The 16,523-nt window shown below is 39.1% G+C and overlaps 1 protein-coding gene across 3 annotated transcripts in view; it reads right to left on the bottom strand.

Annotated features, from left to right (window-relative positions):
- The window catches only part of PHKB (phosphorylase kinase regulatory subunit beta), a 240,225-nt gene that overhangs the window by 17,982 nt on the left and 205,720 nt on the right, over positions 1–16,523 (bottom strand). For all 3 annotated transcript variants that reach the window (NM_001363837.1, NM_001031835.3, NM_000293.3), the window contains one exon: positions 14,125–14,327. In NM_001363837.1, the coding sequence (NP_001350766.1) occupies positions 14,125–14,327 (203 nt within the window). The remainder of the gene's footprint in view (positions 1–14,124; positions 14,328–16,523) is intronic.

Raw genomic sequence — 16,523 nt, 5'->3', positions numbered from 1 at the left:
CGGAGTCTCGCTGATTGCTAGCACAGCAGTCTGAGATCAAACTGCAAGGCGGCAGCGAGGGTGGGAGAGGGGTGCCTGCCATTGCCAAGGCTTGATTAGGTAAACAAAGCAGCCAGGAAGCTCCAAATGGGTGGAGCCCACCACAGCTCAAGGAGGCCTGCCTGCCTCTGTAGGCTCCACCTCTGGGGGCAAGGCACAGACAAACAAAAAGACGGCAGTAACCTCTGCAGACTTAAATGTCCCGTCTGACAGCTTTGAAGAGAGTAGTGGTTCTCCCAGCACACAGCTGGAGATGTGAGAACAGGCAGACTGCCTCCTCAAGTAGGTCCTTGACCCCCGAGCAGCCTAACTGGGAGGCACCCCCCAGTAGGGGCAGACTGACACCTTACATGGCCGGGTACTCCTCTGAGACAAAACTTCCAGAGGAACGATCAGGCAGCAGCATTTGCGGTTCACCAAGATCCGCTGTTCTACAGCCACTGCTGCTGATACCCAGGCAAAGAGGGTCTGGAGTGGACCTCTAGCAAACTCCAACAGACCTGCAGCTGAGGGTCCTGTCTGTTAGAAGGAAAACTAACAAACAGAAAGGACATCCACACCAAAAACCCTTCTGTACATCACCATCATCAAAGACCAAAAGTAGATAAAACCACAAAGATGGGGAAAAAAATGGAGCAGAAAAACTGGAAACTCTAAAAAGCAGAGCACCTCTCCTCCTCCAAAGGAATGCAGCTCCTCACCAGCAACGGAACAAAGCTGGACAGAGAATGACTTTGATGAGGTGAGAGAAGAAGGCTTCAGACGATCAAACTACTCCGAGCTACAGGAGGAAATTCAAACCAATGGCAAAGAAGTTAAAAACTGTGAAAAAAGATTAGACGAATGGATAACTAGAATAACCAACGCAGAGAAGTCCTTAAAGGACCTGATGGAGCTGAAAGCCAAGGCTCGAGAACTATGTGAAGAATGCAGAAGCCTCAGGAGCCGATGCGATCAACTGGAAGAAAGGGTATCAGTGATGGAAGACGAAATGAATGAAATGAAGCGAGAAGAGAAGTTTAGAGAAAAGAGAATAAAAAGAAACGAACAAAGCCTCCAAGAAATATGGGACTATGTGAAAAGAGCAAATCTACGTCTGATTGGTGTACCTGAAAGTGACGGGGAGAATGGAACCAAGTTGGAAAACACTCTGAGGGATATGATCCAGGACAATACTTCCCCAATCTAGCAACGCAGACCAATATTCAGATCCAGGAAATACAGAGAACGCCACAAAGATACTCCTCGAGAAGAGCAACTCCAAGACACATAATTGTCAGATTCACCAAAGTTGAAATGAAAGAAAAAATGTTAAGGGCAGCCAGAGAGAAAGGTCGGGTAACCCACAAAGGGAAGGCCATCAGACTAACAGCGGATCTCTTGGCAGAATACAAGCCAAAAGAGAGTGGGGGCCAATATTCAACATTCTTAAAGGAAAGAATTTTCAACCCAGAATTTAATATCCAGCCAAACTAAGCTTCATAAGTGAAGGAGAAATAAAATACTTTACAGACAAGCTGAGAGATTTTGTCACCACCAGGCCTGCCCTAAAAGAGCTCCTGAAGGAAGCACTAAACATGGAAAGGAACAACTGGTACCAGACACTGCAAAAACATGCCAAAATGTAAAGACCATCAAGGCAAGGAAGAAACTGCATCAACTAACGAGCAAAATAACCAGCTAACATCATAATGACGGAACCAAATACACAAATAACAATATTAACTTTAAATGTAAATGGGCTAAATGCTCCAACTAAAAGACACAGACTGGCAAATTGGATAAAGGGTCAAGACCCATCAGTGTGCTGTATTCAGGAAACCCATCTCACGTGCAGAGACACACATAGGCTCAAAATAAAGGGATGGAGGAAGATCTACCAAGCAAATGGAAAACAAAAAAAGGCAGGGGTTGCAATCCTAGTCTCTGATAAAACAGACTTTAAACCAACAAAGATCAAAAGAGACAAAGAACGCCATTACATAATGGTAAAGGGATCAATTCAACAAGAAGAGCTAACTATCCTAAATATATATGCACCCAACATAGAAGCACCCAGTTTCATAAAGCAAGTCCTTAGTGACCTACAAAGAGACTTAGACTCCCACACAGTAAAAATGGGAGACTTTAACACCCCACTGTCAACATTTGACAGATCAACGAGACAGAAAGTTAACAAGGATACCCAGGAATTGAACTCAGCTCTGCACCAAGTGGACCTAATAGACATCTACAGAACTCTCCACCCCAAATCAACAGAATATACATTTTTTTCAACACCACACCACACCTATTCCAAAACTGACTACATAGTTGGAAGTAAAGCACTCCTCAGCAAATGTAAAAGAACAGAAATTGTAACAAACTGTTTCTCAGACCACAGTGTAATCAAATTAGAACTCAGGATTAAGAAACTCACTCAAACCCGCTCAACTACATGGAAACTGAACAACCTGCTCCTGAATGACTACTGGGTAAATAACAAAATGAAGGCAGAAACACAGATGTTCTTTAAAACCAATGAGAACAAAGACACAACATACCAGAATCTCTGGGACACATTCAAAGCAGGGTGCACAGGGAAATTTATAGCATTAAATGCCCACAAGAGGAAGCAGGAAAGACCCAAAATTGACATCCTAAAATCACAATTAAAAGAACTAGAAAAGCAAGAGCAAACACATTCAAAAGCTAGCAGAAGGCAAGAAATGACTAAAATCAGTGCAGAACTGAAGGAAATAGAGACACAAAAAACCCTTCAAAAAAATTAATGAATCCAGGAGCTGGTTTTTTGAAAAGATCAACAAAACTGATAGACCGCTAGCAAGACTAATAAAGAAGAAAAGAGAGAAGAATCAAATAGACGCAATAAAAAAGGACAAAGGGGATATCACCACCGATCCCACAGAAATACAAACTACCATCAGAGAATACTATAAACACCTCTACGCAAATAAACTAGAAAATCTAGAAGAAATGGATAAATTCCTCGACACATACACCCTCCCAAGACTAAACCAGAAGAACCTGAATCTCTGAATAGACTAATAACAGGCTCTGAAATTGTGGCAATAATTAATAGCTTACCAACCAAAAATAGTCCAGGACCAGATGGATTCACAGCCAAATTCTACCAGAGGTACAAGGAGGAGCTGGTACCATTCCTTCTGAAACTATTCCAATCAATAGAAAAAGAGGGAATCCTCCCTAACTCATTTTATGAGGCCAGCATAATCCTGATACCAAAGCCTGGCAGAGACACAACCAAAAAAGAGAATTTTAGACCAATATCCTTGATGAACATTGATGCACAAACCCTCAATAAAATACTGGCAAACTGAATCCAGCAACACATCAAAAAGCCTATCAACCATGATCAAGTGGGCTTCATCCCTGAGATGTAAGGCTGGTTCAACATATGAAAATCAATAAATGTAATCCAGCATATAAACAGAACCAAAGACAAAAACCACATGATTATCTGAATAGATGCAGAAAACGCCTTTGACAAAATTCAACAACACTTCATGCTAAAAACTCTCAATAAATTAGGTATTGATGAGACGTATCTCAAAATAATAAGAGCTATCTATGCAAACCCACAGCCAATATCATACTGAATGGGCAAAAACTGGAAGCATTCCCTTTGAAAATGGGCACAAGACAGGGATCCCCTCTCTCACCACTAATATTCAACATAGTGTTGGAAGTTCTGGCCAGGGCAATTAGGCAGGAGAAGGAAATAAAGGGTATTCAATTAGGAAAAGAGGAAGTCAAATTGTCCCTGTTTGCAGATGACATGACTGTATATCTAGAAAACCCCATTGTCTTAGCCCAAAATCTCCTTAAGCTGATAAGCAACTTCAGCAAAGTCTGAGGATACAAAATCAATGTGCAAAATCACAAGCATTCTTAGACACCAATAACAGACAAACAGAGAGCCAAATAATGAGTGAACTCCCATTCACAATTGCTTCAAAGAGAATAAAATACCTAGGAATTCAACTTACAAGGGATGTGAAGGACCTCTTCAAGGAGAACTACAAACCACTGCTCAATGAAATAAAAGAGGACACAAACAAATGGAAGAACATTCCATGCTCATGAGTAGGAAGAATCAATATCGTGAAAATGGCCATAGTGCCCAAGGTAATTTATAGATTCAATGTCATCCCCATCAAGCTACCAATCACTTTTTTCACAGAATTGGAAAAAACTACTTTAAAGTACATATAGAACCAAAAAAGAGCCCGCATCGCCAAGTCAATCCTAAGCCAAAAGAACAAAGCTGGAGGCATCACACTACCTGCTTCAAACTATACTACAAGGCCACAGTAACCAAAACAGCATGGTACTGGTACCAAAACAGAGATATAGACCAATGGAACAGAACAGAGCCCTCAGAAATAATGCCACATATCTACAACCATCTGATCTTTGACAAACCTGACAAAAACAAGCAATGGGGAAAGGATTCCCTATTTAATAAATGGTGCTGGGAAAACTGGCTAGCCATATGTAGAAAGCTGAAACTTGATGCCTTCCTTACACCTTATACAAAAATCAATTCAAGATGGATTAAAGACTTACATGTTAGACCTAAAACCATAAAAACCCTAGAAGAAAACCTAGGCAATACCATTCAGGACACAGGCATGGGCAAGGACTGCATGTCTAAAACACCAAAAGCAATGGCAACAAAAGCCAAAATTGACAAATGGGATCTAATTAAACTAAAGAGCTTCTGCACAGCAAAAGAAACCACCATCAGAGTGAACAGGCAACCTACAGAATGGGAGAAAATTTTTGCAACCTACTCATCTGACAAAGGGCTAATATCCAGAATCTACAATGAACTCAAACAAATTTACAAGAAAAAAACAAACAACCCCATCAAAAAGTGGGCGAAGGACATGAACAGACACTTCTCAAAAGAAGACATTTATGCAGCCAAAAAACACATGAAAAAATGCTCATGATCACTGGCCATCAGAGAAATGCAAATCAAAACCACAATGAGATACCATCTCACACCAGTTAGAATGGCGATCATTAAAAAGTCAGGAAACAACAGGTGCTGGAGAGGATGTGGAGAAAGAGGAACACTTTTACACTGTTGGTGGGACTCTGAACTAGTTCAACCATTGTGGAAGTCAGTGTGGCGATTCCTCAGGGATCTAGAACTAGAAATACCATTTGACCCAGCCGTCCCATTACTGGGTATATACCCAAAGGATTATAAATCATGCTGCTATAAAGACACATGCATACATATGTTTATTGTGGCACTATTCACAATAGCAAAGACTTGGAACCAACCCAAATGTCCAACAATGATAGACTGGATTAAGAAAATGTGGCACATATACACCATGGAATACTATGCAGCCATAAAAAATGATGAGTTCAGGTCCTTTGTAGGGACATGGATGAAACTGGAAACCATCATTCTCAGCAAACTATTGCGAGGACAAAAAAGGAAACACCGCATGTTCTCACTCATAGGTGGGAACTAAACAATGAGAACACATGGACACAGGAAGGGGAATATCACACTCCGGGGACTGTTGTGGGGTCGGGGGAGGGGGGAGGGATAGCATTAGGAGATATACCTAATGCTAAATGACGAGTTAATGGGTGCAGCACACCAACATGGCAGATCTATACATATGTAACAAACCTGCACATTGTGCACATGTAACCTAAAACTTAAAGTATAAAAAAAAAAAAAATTAGATGATTTTGTGCATTTAACTAAGCCATATTCTATGGACTGAATTCTTTCTCCCCCTCCAAATTCAAATGTTGAAGCCCTAACTCCAGTGTGATGGTATCTGGAGATGGGGTCTTTGGGAGGTAATCAGGTTTAGATGAGGTCATGAGGTTGGGGCCCTTATGCTGGGATTAGTAACCTTATAAGAAGACATACCAGAGAGCTCTCTCTCTCCATCAGAGGACACAGGACACAGAAGGCAGCCATCTGCAAGCCAGGAGGAGAGCCCTCACCAGAAACCAAATTGGCAGGGACCCTGACCTTGGCCTTTCCAGCCTGCAGATTGTGAGAAAATAAATTTCTGTGTTTAAGCCATTCCATGTATGGCGTTTTGTTATGGAAGCCAGAGCTGATACACCAAATGACAGACGATGGAAAGCTGCAAGAAGGGACTTTTTTTGCTTGATTCATATTAATATGGAGAGGAATACAATTTGATGAGGCAAACTGAGCTATCTGTTTGGTGACTGAAGGATGTGGATTCCCTCTATCACTGATCCAATCACAATAGAATAGAGGTTGGGGAGCTTCATCATCTCACCTCCTTACCTCATATCAGATGTCAAAAGCAAAGACCTCAGAATGAGTATCAGAACCGTGCTAATGAACTTGGTGCTGTAATTATTTTCTCTTTCCTTTAGTGCATAAGCAATGTTATAGTCTGCTATCTATGACAACAATGGCTCTCTCTAAGCTTCGGATGTGTGATCCACAGATACGGTTTTGGGCATCAGAGGACAAGGTACGTCTGGATCATAATTGCTTACAGAGGATGCCCTGGCAGTATGAAAAGCAGAGATGAAAAATACTTGATAACACATATCCTCTGGGGTTATCTGTAAGTAAAGCTTGACTGACAGACCTGCAGCAGAAAGTAGTTGATTGGAGGTCTTTACAGTAATGGGCCTGTCAGGAACTTGATCTATTTCAACAGGAAAGCTGAAGCACAAATCAATAATGAGACAGCAAATCAAATCATTATCAGACCAGAATACCATTCCTGTGAGCAGGTTAATTTTGTTCACTGGAGTGCCTGATAGCAGTAAAGTTGAAGAAATTGCATTGGCAAGATTAACCTTGGAAAAAAGAGAAAAGAAACATGGTGCTATTGGCTTAAAAGCAATTGAAGTAGTGGGTAATGCAAATAAATAAAATTTAAAAAAACACTAAGAGAGAGTAGTTAAACCTGAGATAAAAGTATACTCAATGCAAGGGAATTCTGGTTAAGATGTACCATGATTAAGGCAAATGTTCTTATTTCTTATGGCCATTCAGTCTAGTGAATGCTGGCATCCAAGAAGAATATGGTATCAAAACATGACCAATCAATCAATCTCTTTAATCATAATTAACATTTAAAAGAGAGAAACAATAGCAAAAAGCCAAGTAAGAATGAGTCTGATGTGCTTATTGTACCATAAGGCAGTAAAAAAAGAATACATTCTATAAATCCCCTCCCTTTCTTTTAAAATTGTGCTACAACCACTACAATACACAAAGGACTAACTCAGAAACAGTTACATGTTCAACAATTTATAGGAAATTTGACATTCAAAGACTTTATAAATGAATAATTTGCTCACCAATTTTAAGCAAACTAAAAACCTTCCAGGGACTAATTCAAGGTAAAATTTGTAAAGAAACATACTGAGTATGTATTTGCTGCTGCTAATAAACAAATATGCAAGGGGCCCATTCACTTAAAGGGGTTGAGGCCTTAGTATAATTTATTGAGGATGAAGTCTAATAAAAACATAGAAGACACAAAAGTATCTTTTTACTCTTCAGAGGGGCACTATCACAAGCCCCACAGACAGGATGACAGTTATCTGAAGTTGTCTGATATCCCTAGGGCAGAAACAGCATTCCCAAGCCTTTATTACTGTGGTGGAAGAGTGCTGTGGGCGTAGGTCTGAAGGGATTTTAGGGTGTTTGCCACAGGTGTCGTGAGTGTCTACCAGGTGACGGAGAGGTGACATCATGTTAGATGGCAAGAGATCATCCCAATGGGATTCTGAGATGGAGTTTCCATATGAGATGCTTTGGGATCATTCCACTGGGCCTACAGGGGACTCAACCATGGCTGAAAGGGCCCCCTCCTCCAAGGTGAACTTCTCTTGTGAGAGCACACGGCCTTTGCAAACCTAGGACCAGAAGACAAGAATGAGTGAGATGGAGACAGAGAGAGAGAGAGAGAGAGAGAGAGAGAGTGTGTGTGTGTGTGTGTGTACGTGTGTGTGTGTGTTGGGAGAAGAGGGAGGTTCCTCCTACGGCACCTTGAGATTTGTGGTGTGTAAAAAGCACTCCTCAGATGGAGCTGTTCTCCAAATGTCATGGGGAGAAGACCTCAAATTATCAAATACCACAGTGATAATGTTGAAGCTCTGCCCTTGCAAAACATCTTCACATTTTTTACCCAGAATCACCACATCCAACGAGGACACCAAAGCAGGCATAGCCCCGCTGTTACTGACCAGGGTAACAGGGGTGGAAGAGGGGTTGGGGAGCATGAACTCTGCGTCACTCACACTAGTTCCAAATCCTGGTTCTTGGCCTGTGACCTTGGGAAAGTTATCTAATTTTGCAGAATTTCAAGCAGCTTGTGTGTAAACTTACAGAGTTTTTGTTGAGGATTTTCTGGGATAACCCAAAGGGCAAGCACCTAGAAAATGGGCCCTCAGCAAACATTAGATCTCTTCCTCTGAACATAAGAAAGGGGAACTCATTTGCCTGAGATAGTCACTTAAGTTACTGGCAGAAATGGGAATAAAATTCAAGGCTTTCCACTTGTAACTCTCAAATTGGTGTTATCCAGAGAGCTGAATTCAGTGGCAGGGCTGGTTTTGCCTTAGGGGAGGTGGAAGATTTTCCGTAGAGGAGTTACACGGCAACTGTCTACCATTTGTCCTTATCCCAGTGTCTCTATCTTTGCTGGTTCCAGTAAACAGTACCAAGGGTTCAGTGCATATTCACTGGCTCACACATTTTGGACTGGCTGTTAACTTCGAACAATGACATCTACCCTGGACCTACAAAGACGGGTTAGTCTTCAGGAAAATATTATTTCCTCTGCAAATACTGACCTTGAAAGTATGACAAAATATAATTTCAAATTATTCTTATGCTTTGCCTCCTAAACCAATGTTGATGCAGCAACAGGCAGGCAGGTTTACATTTCAGAAAGCTTTTTTTGTGTGGTTAACATAATGAGGCTCTGTATTTGCCAGAGGTATCCTAGAATATTACAAGGAAGTGAAAAGTCTGCTCTAGACTTCTCTGAACTTTTCATAGCGTCTTAATATTAGGTTAGTGCAAAGCAATTGTGGTTTCAGCCACTACTTTCAATGGCAAAAACCACGATTACTTTTGCACCAACACAATATATCTACTGTAGTATACAAGCGGCCAACTTAGAATCATCCCATTTTCTCTGCCTTGTGATGAATAAAGGTGCAAAATCTCATTTATTCGGTCTGTTAACTTGTACCTACTCAAGTTCCTTACACTGTAAAATGCTCAACAGTACTGATCCTAGATTGGAGGCCTGGCAGACAAAAGACGAAAAAAAAAAAAAATCTGGCATCTGGCACATCATAGTTACTACATGAACTTGAATACAATATGGATCATAAATTGAAATCATGTATGAGAGATCATAAAGGCCATAAAGTTTTAGAAATAAACACTAAAGCCTGTTTCTGTGAGATAATGGCAATAGTATACAGAAGCAAAAACATGCAGAAAGTACTCAAGACTGAAGAATAAGAACACTGGAGTCAGGCAGACCTGGGTGTAAATCCCAGTTCTTCCACTTACTGACAAAGACAGCCCATGTATACTCTCCAAATCTCAATTTCTTTGTTGTAAAATGGTGGTTCTAGTGCCTACTTCAAAGTTGTTGTAGGGATTAAAACAGATAATATATGTGAAGAATTTTTATTCTTCTTCTATTATTCATTGCTTAGCATATAACAGATATTCAATGAATAATATTTGTGGCTATAGTGATGGAGGAAGAGAAGGATGGTTTACTAGAGTGATCTTTTGAGTGCAATGATCACGTTATTTAAACTTGTCTCCTCTTAGATCGTTACTGGAAACACTGCTAAGAGATGTACGATTGTAAGGCAACCTGTCCTGTACTCTGATATGATTAATTACACCATTCCATTAATAACTCCGTGGAGAAAAGTGCTACATCCTGATATCTTCTGTATATATGAATGGACTTTCATAAAAACAAGGCCCTGTTTAACTTGGTCATTTCCTGAAGGACATGATTTAATTAAATCTTCTTTTATACTTAATTCCAATATCATGTGGCACAAAACCAAGTATGTTTATCAAAATTAAGAGCCATTTACTTCTCTAAGAGTACAGAGACATGCTCTCTTTTTGCTTTTCCTAAATTCCACATTACTAGCTCAAAGCAAACCACCTGACTCTGCTTATATACCGTATGTTAAACAATCCAATATTTATTGAGTATCTCTGATGAAAGAGACTGTAAGACAGATGGGAAGTAATACAAGATTTAGTTCCTATCCTTAGCAGAAGGAAATTTCTTAAATAAATAACTCCTTAATAAAAAAAAAAAAAATACCAGATTGCTCCCCAACTGAAATAGTCCCAGTGGTTAGAACTGATCTCGTGAGACCCACATAAGAGTGAAATGTACATCATAAGTCAGGCAGGGACACTATTAATACTCGCAATGAGAATATAATGCCACAATTCCAGAATGAGTTTCAGGACGGTGAATAATTAAGGTTTCATAGCAAATTTCTTTATGAGTCAGTTGACTGTTAAATACTAAGTCACATGTTGCCACCTGACATTTTTACTTTGGGTAACACAGTATAAGGAAAAATGGTATGTCATTTCTCATGGAAAGCACCAAACATACAGAGTAACAGATATAAAAACAGAAAGAATGCTATTTTTAGAATAAATATCCATTCCCATGAATAGAAAGAAGCATCAGGTTAGAGTTGAATTCAAGAAAGGGAATTACATGAGATTTGTAGAGGACCTAAATTAGCTTAAAATGCTGAATAAGCAGTAAAGGAAAAACTACTATAGACTGAAAAACACAGCAGTGTAAAATCTTGGGAAACTGTTTACCTTCACTCTAAGGCTTTGTTGAAACCTCTGCAAGGATGGCTGTCACTTGAAAAGGCTCCCTGAACACTTATTACACTTATTTCAAAGAATGTGCTTTGGAAGACTTATAACCTATACTTCTCAGTCTGTCTCAGATCAATGCCTGAGTCTGTGACAATAGAGTACTTTTATACCATGTACAGAGATGGAGAATCACATTTCTTTTCATTTGGAGTTAGCTCACATGAAAGAACCATTTCTCTATCCTCATGTGGAGTCAAGAGGTTGGAGTTGAAAATATCAGGGCAAACAGACTGAACAAATCAGGATATAACTCAAAGTTCTTATAACTGATTCAAAATAGCTCTGAATCTTTGAAAGAAACTATTTTAAGGGATAAGAGTGAAGGTCAAATTCTATGCAGGTAATTTACTTTCAATCAAAAGAAAGAAGAGACAAAGATAAGGAAATTTGACTGAAATATACTGTAGTTGAAATCAGGCAAATCACTTAAAAATAATAAGCTAAAGTAATTTTTAAAATAATACTGAAAAATGTAACTTAGAAAGTAGAAATCTCCTAGAGAAAGTAACTGACACCAATTTGATATATATTTTTCAGATACTTTTGCACACATACATTACACAGATATATGTATGGTATTATTATTGTTCTTTTATAAAAAGTGGAACAATACACTGCATCTTTTTTTACATTTATCTAGGACATTCATAAATGTCGGTATATAGGACTTTATCTTGTTCACTGTAGGTAGCACAGCATTTTTTATATGGCTAAAAACCAATTTATTCAAACTATTTCCTACTAATGAACATCTAGGTTGTTCGCAATGTTTCACTATTTCGGATAATGCTGAAAGGAAGACTGCTGCAAAATATATCTTTATGGTACTTGTGTGAATACTGTGAACTCCTTGGATGAGAACTGATGAATTACGATGTATGCAGATATTGCCAAATAGGCAATGCATTTTTCACATGTGATTTTGAAGGAAAAAATGGGTAATAATGTTTAAAAAAGTACATCACATTTATGTGTAAAACTAGTGGAATGAAAAGGAGCTCAACCCAACAATAAACAGAAAAGGAAAAAAGTTATAAGAAAGCATGGTAAATATAAAGTATAAAATATAGAAATAGGTCAAAATGTAAAAGAAAGAAAACAATTATGAAATATATATTTCTATTAAAAGACAACATTATGTATATAGTTAATACTACTGTACTGTATATTTAAAAATGGTTAAGATGGTAAATTTTATGTTACATGCTTCTTATAAGATGCTCTCAGAGTATATTAATAAATACAGCATAGTGCTGAATATAAAAACATACATAATACATACAAAATTATAAAAGAACATTGAATGCAAAAAGGATGGAAGACAATATAGCAAGCTAATAATGACAGATGGAGAAAGGTATGGCAATAATATTTGACAAACATAATTCAATTGTTTTTTATGCATGGTAACAGTACTGTGTTTATGCTTTGAAAAAGTTCTTATGTTTTTGAGATACAAATTTAAGTATTTACAGATTAGAAGATATGGATTTGCCTTTCAAAACTGACAGGGTACTGTGGGAGCAGGTGGGTAGTAGATGGGGGTATGGGTGAAGTAAGACGGACCAGATGATAATATTGTTGAGGCTGGCTGATAGTATGGGCACATAAGTCTGTATTATACTAGTCTCCGTATTTTTGTAAATGTTTGAAGTTTAAAAAAAAAGTTGAAAAGTAATCAATGACATGAAGATATATTGGTAAAAGTTATGAAGAGACATGGACAAAATCAAAGTTTTAAACTACATAAAGCAGCCAGGTGAGGTGGCTCACACCTGTAATCCCAGTACTTTGGGAGGCTGAGGCAGGCAGATCACTAAAGGTAAAGAGTTCAAGACCAGCTTGGCCAACATGGTGAAACCGTGTCTCTACTAAAAATACAAAAATTAGCTGGGTGTGGTGGCGCACGCTTGTAATCCCAGCCACTTGGGAGTCTGAGGTGGAAAGATTGCTTGAACCTGGGAGGCGGCAGTTGCAGTGAGCTGAGATCGCACCACTGCACTCTAGCCTGTGTGATAGGAATGAGACTCCATCTCAAAAAACAAAAAACAACTACATAAAGCAAAACTGATACAAATAAAAATGCAAGGAGAAATTGATACAACCACAATTATAATGAGAAATTAAGAGTTTTATCAGCAATGACCAAATAGAGATAGTAAAGATGTTAAAATTCCAGTTTTACAGTTAGCAAGCTACATATACTTATTTCACACTCATACACATACATGTATGTTTGCACCCAACAGAGAATGTATATTCTTTTCAAACACTTGAGAAACACCCTCAAAGTTGGCCACTTGTTAGATTACACTATAAGCTCAGATATCATTGGGCTCTTTTACAATAGGACATACTCACGATACTTGTACAATAAAAAATGTATTTAAAAAAGAAACATTTATACTTCCTTAGCTTGTCATAGACTTTTAAAACATATCTCATTTCATTTTCATATAAAACAAACAAACTGGTATTAAAGTGAGGCTAGAGAGGTTCAGTCATTTACCCAAGGTTACTGAGACAACAATGGCAGTTGGAACTTGAACTCAGTTCTGCTGAATTCCAGAGCCTGGTTAATTTTTCCTACACCATGCTGCCTCATAAAATCCTTGATTACAAATATTCAAGATCATCAGAGCCTTATTTTGATTTCTTCTCCAAGAACAACAATATTAAAAATCAATTAATAGATTTCAGTAGAAAATGGGTATAGAATATTCTTAAAAGGACCAAATTTTTATCTGGATGTGTCCTCCTGACAGTTTTACTGAAAATCATTCTTCTCTTAAGGCCTATCCATTTTATTTCTAGGAATTTTTGCAAGTACTGTGCTTAGCGTTTTACACGACACAGCTGTTGAAATTTCTGGGGTTTGATTTTACCAGACAAAGGAGTTACTTCACTATGTCTAACTCGGGTGTGAAATAAACGTTAAGGATTCTTTCAGGCTAGTGGCATTTATTTTTCATACCCCCAGATATTGCCTGCATGGCTTAGAGGACAGGTGCTCTTTGCTGAATACTCACCAGACACCAGGAACATTGCTTCACTTGGAGAGGCCGGGTCTGTTAGAGGACAACTTGAACAATTCTCTTTATGCAAATGCAAAGGACTTCACTCACCCGATTCGTATTTTCAGCATGCCACTGAATAACTCAGGGTTATTGGAGATGATCCAGCCAATATGGATGACCAGTTCTTGCTGAATGACCGCTTCCCTCTCATCATGGGTGTTACACTTATAATAGATGATGTTTTGAATCACTCTTGGAGACAAAGGATTAGAGATAACTTCTTCTTCATGCCCAAAGGCACCCAGAGTTACCTACAAGTGGCAGAATTTTATTGTAAAATTCTCCTAGCTACTAAAAGATAAAAATTAAAAAAAAATCAAGGCTCAGAATGACTGGCAGGCTGAAATTACTCTATATAAGCTAGGGAATTAGGTAGAATAACTGTTCCTGGTATTTATTAAAATGGCTTTCAAAGCATGACTCCCACTGGAATTCATGATGGTTCACAGTCTAGTCTAAAATATAAGGGCAGGTGAGGGTTCCAGTTAGGGGAGTGGAGGTGAGTGGATAAAAGCAGGGAAGGAATATAAATTAAGTTAAAATTATTCTGAATGACTTTAGTACTAGAAACTCCCCAGAGAAACCAGAATAGGTTGAAGAGTTTCACTTTACTGCAGTCTACACAATTTGGTATTTGAGAGATAAACTTTTTGATTCTTTTATAGTTTCTCAGGCAGATCCTTTTGCCTCAGCAACACTATAACCTTTCAAAGGCAGGTGTGAGGCCACCCAGTTCCTGTGTAGCCCTCATTTTTCTGGGCATAATGCAAGGTGCCTGGTGAGGGTTAAAATATGTGGTGACAGATCTCTCACCTGTGGAGGGGAAGGAACAGGCTGCCCACAGCCTGGGACAGGAGACAGCATAGAGTGAAATGGCCAAAAAAACTCTGGGCAGAATGCTGCTGAAGCTGGCAAGGGGAATAAGCTGGTCTCTCTCTCTCCTCTATACTTGGCATTCTTCTCCCAGGGGACTCTGCAGGCCGCCCTTCTCCCTGAATACCCCTTTCCATCTCTTTTTCATGTACAGTGTACAATTATAAAAGGCAGGAAAAAAGAATAGCATATCAAAGGCCACAGAGATGAGGGGAGAGAGCAGAACATGGAGTCTATTGCCTCAATTTTGTAATGGAGTGAAAACTGTGAACTGCTGGTTTATTATATCACAAGTGGCATGAACCAGTTAGTCTGCGTGTGAATACTTTTATTAAAATGTCAGTGTGTAAAGAAGAAAACAAACAGAAGGCACATCATTGCCTCTAGAAGCAATGATGACTAAGCCATGATTTCATTCCACAGAGCTTGAGGTGATCCGAATGTGCTTGGTAGAAACAATATTACTTCAGTGCTTAGGGTGGCATTTGAATAACGCACGAGTAAAAATTCTGAATGCTCCATTCTCATTTCTTTTTTGTAAAGAGGTAAGATGCGGTCAGAGAATGGACTCCATGCCTCTGGTAATGAAGCTGAGCTACTGGCCTCCGAGTCTTGCCCAGCTCTGTAAGTGACTGTTACCCTGGGAGACACGCTAGTGTGATGAGCAATGGTCCAGGCACAACCTTAGGGCAGGCTCTGAGGCTTCCAGGATGTAGGAGCAGGATCTCAGGACCACAGGCTGCAAGCCCCCTTTAGATATTGTGTAGATTGGACAGAACCAACCCTAACCCACCCTTTCTCCCAGTGTCAGGTGCTGATGACCTTGAAGGTCTCCAAAAGCTTCTGAATGTTCATATGCAGAGTTAACTCTCTTTTCAGAAATGCTACAAGGATCTAAAATCCAAGGAAAAATATCTTCTCAAAGCCTGTTTAACTTTCTTTCAGAGGTGGCTTGGTTCAGGGTAAAAACACAAGACTCTGGCTGGAGGTGAGAATTCTGGTGAGAAAAGGCACTAGATAAGTTACTTCCTGTATTTTGGTCTGTTTTAGCCAACAAACAGGGATAAAAATTCTACCTCTCAATAATTTGGAGAAAATAACATATATGAAGTGATTTAACTTTTTCTTAGGAGTTTTTGTATTTTTTCTTTTTAATTTCTTTAAACGACAGGGTATTGCTGTGTTGCCCAGGCTGGAGTGTATGATCACAGCTCACTACAGCCTCAAACTCTTGGGCTCAAGCAATCCTCCTACCTCAGCTTCCCAAGGCACTGAAACCAAAGGCATGTGCCACCAGGCCCAACTATTTTTTTTTTCTTTTTTTTGCAGAGATAGGGTCTTGCTATGTGCTCAGGCTGGTCTCGAATTCCTGGCCTCAAGTGATCCTCCCGCCTTGGCCCCCAAAGTGTTTGGATTACAGGTGTGAGCCACCATGCCCAGCAGGAATCTTTTATCTTTTATTAGTACAATTATTTTTAATTATTAAATATTACAGGAAACAATAAATAGCTTATTATTCTAACATTTCAAAAGCTAAATGTAAGGATGAATAATTTTAATCTTAATGAATTAAG

The sequence above is a fragment of the Homo sapiens genome, chromosome 16 (genome assembly GCF_000001405.40).
Source record: "Homo sapiens chromosome 16, GRCh38.p14 Primary Assembly".
NCBI classification, from domain to species: domain Eukaryota; kingdom Metazoa; phylum Chordata; class Mammalia; order Primates; family Hominidae; genus Homo; species Homo sapiens.
The sequence above is the reverse complement of the archived record's forward strand: the minus strand, read 5'-3'. Positions and strand labels throughout refer to the sequence as shown.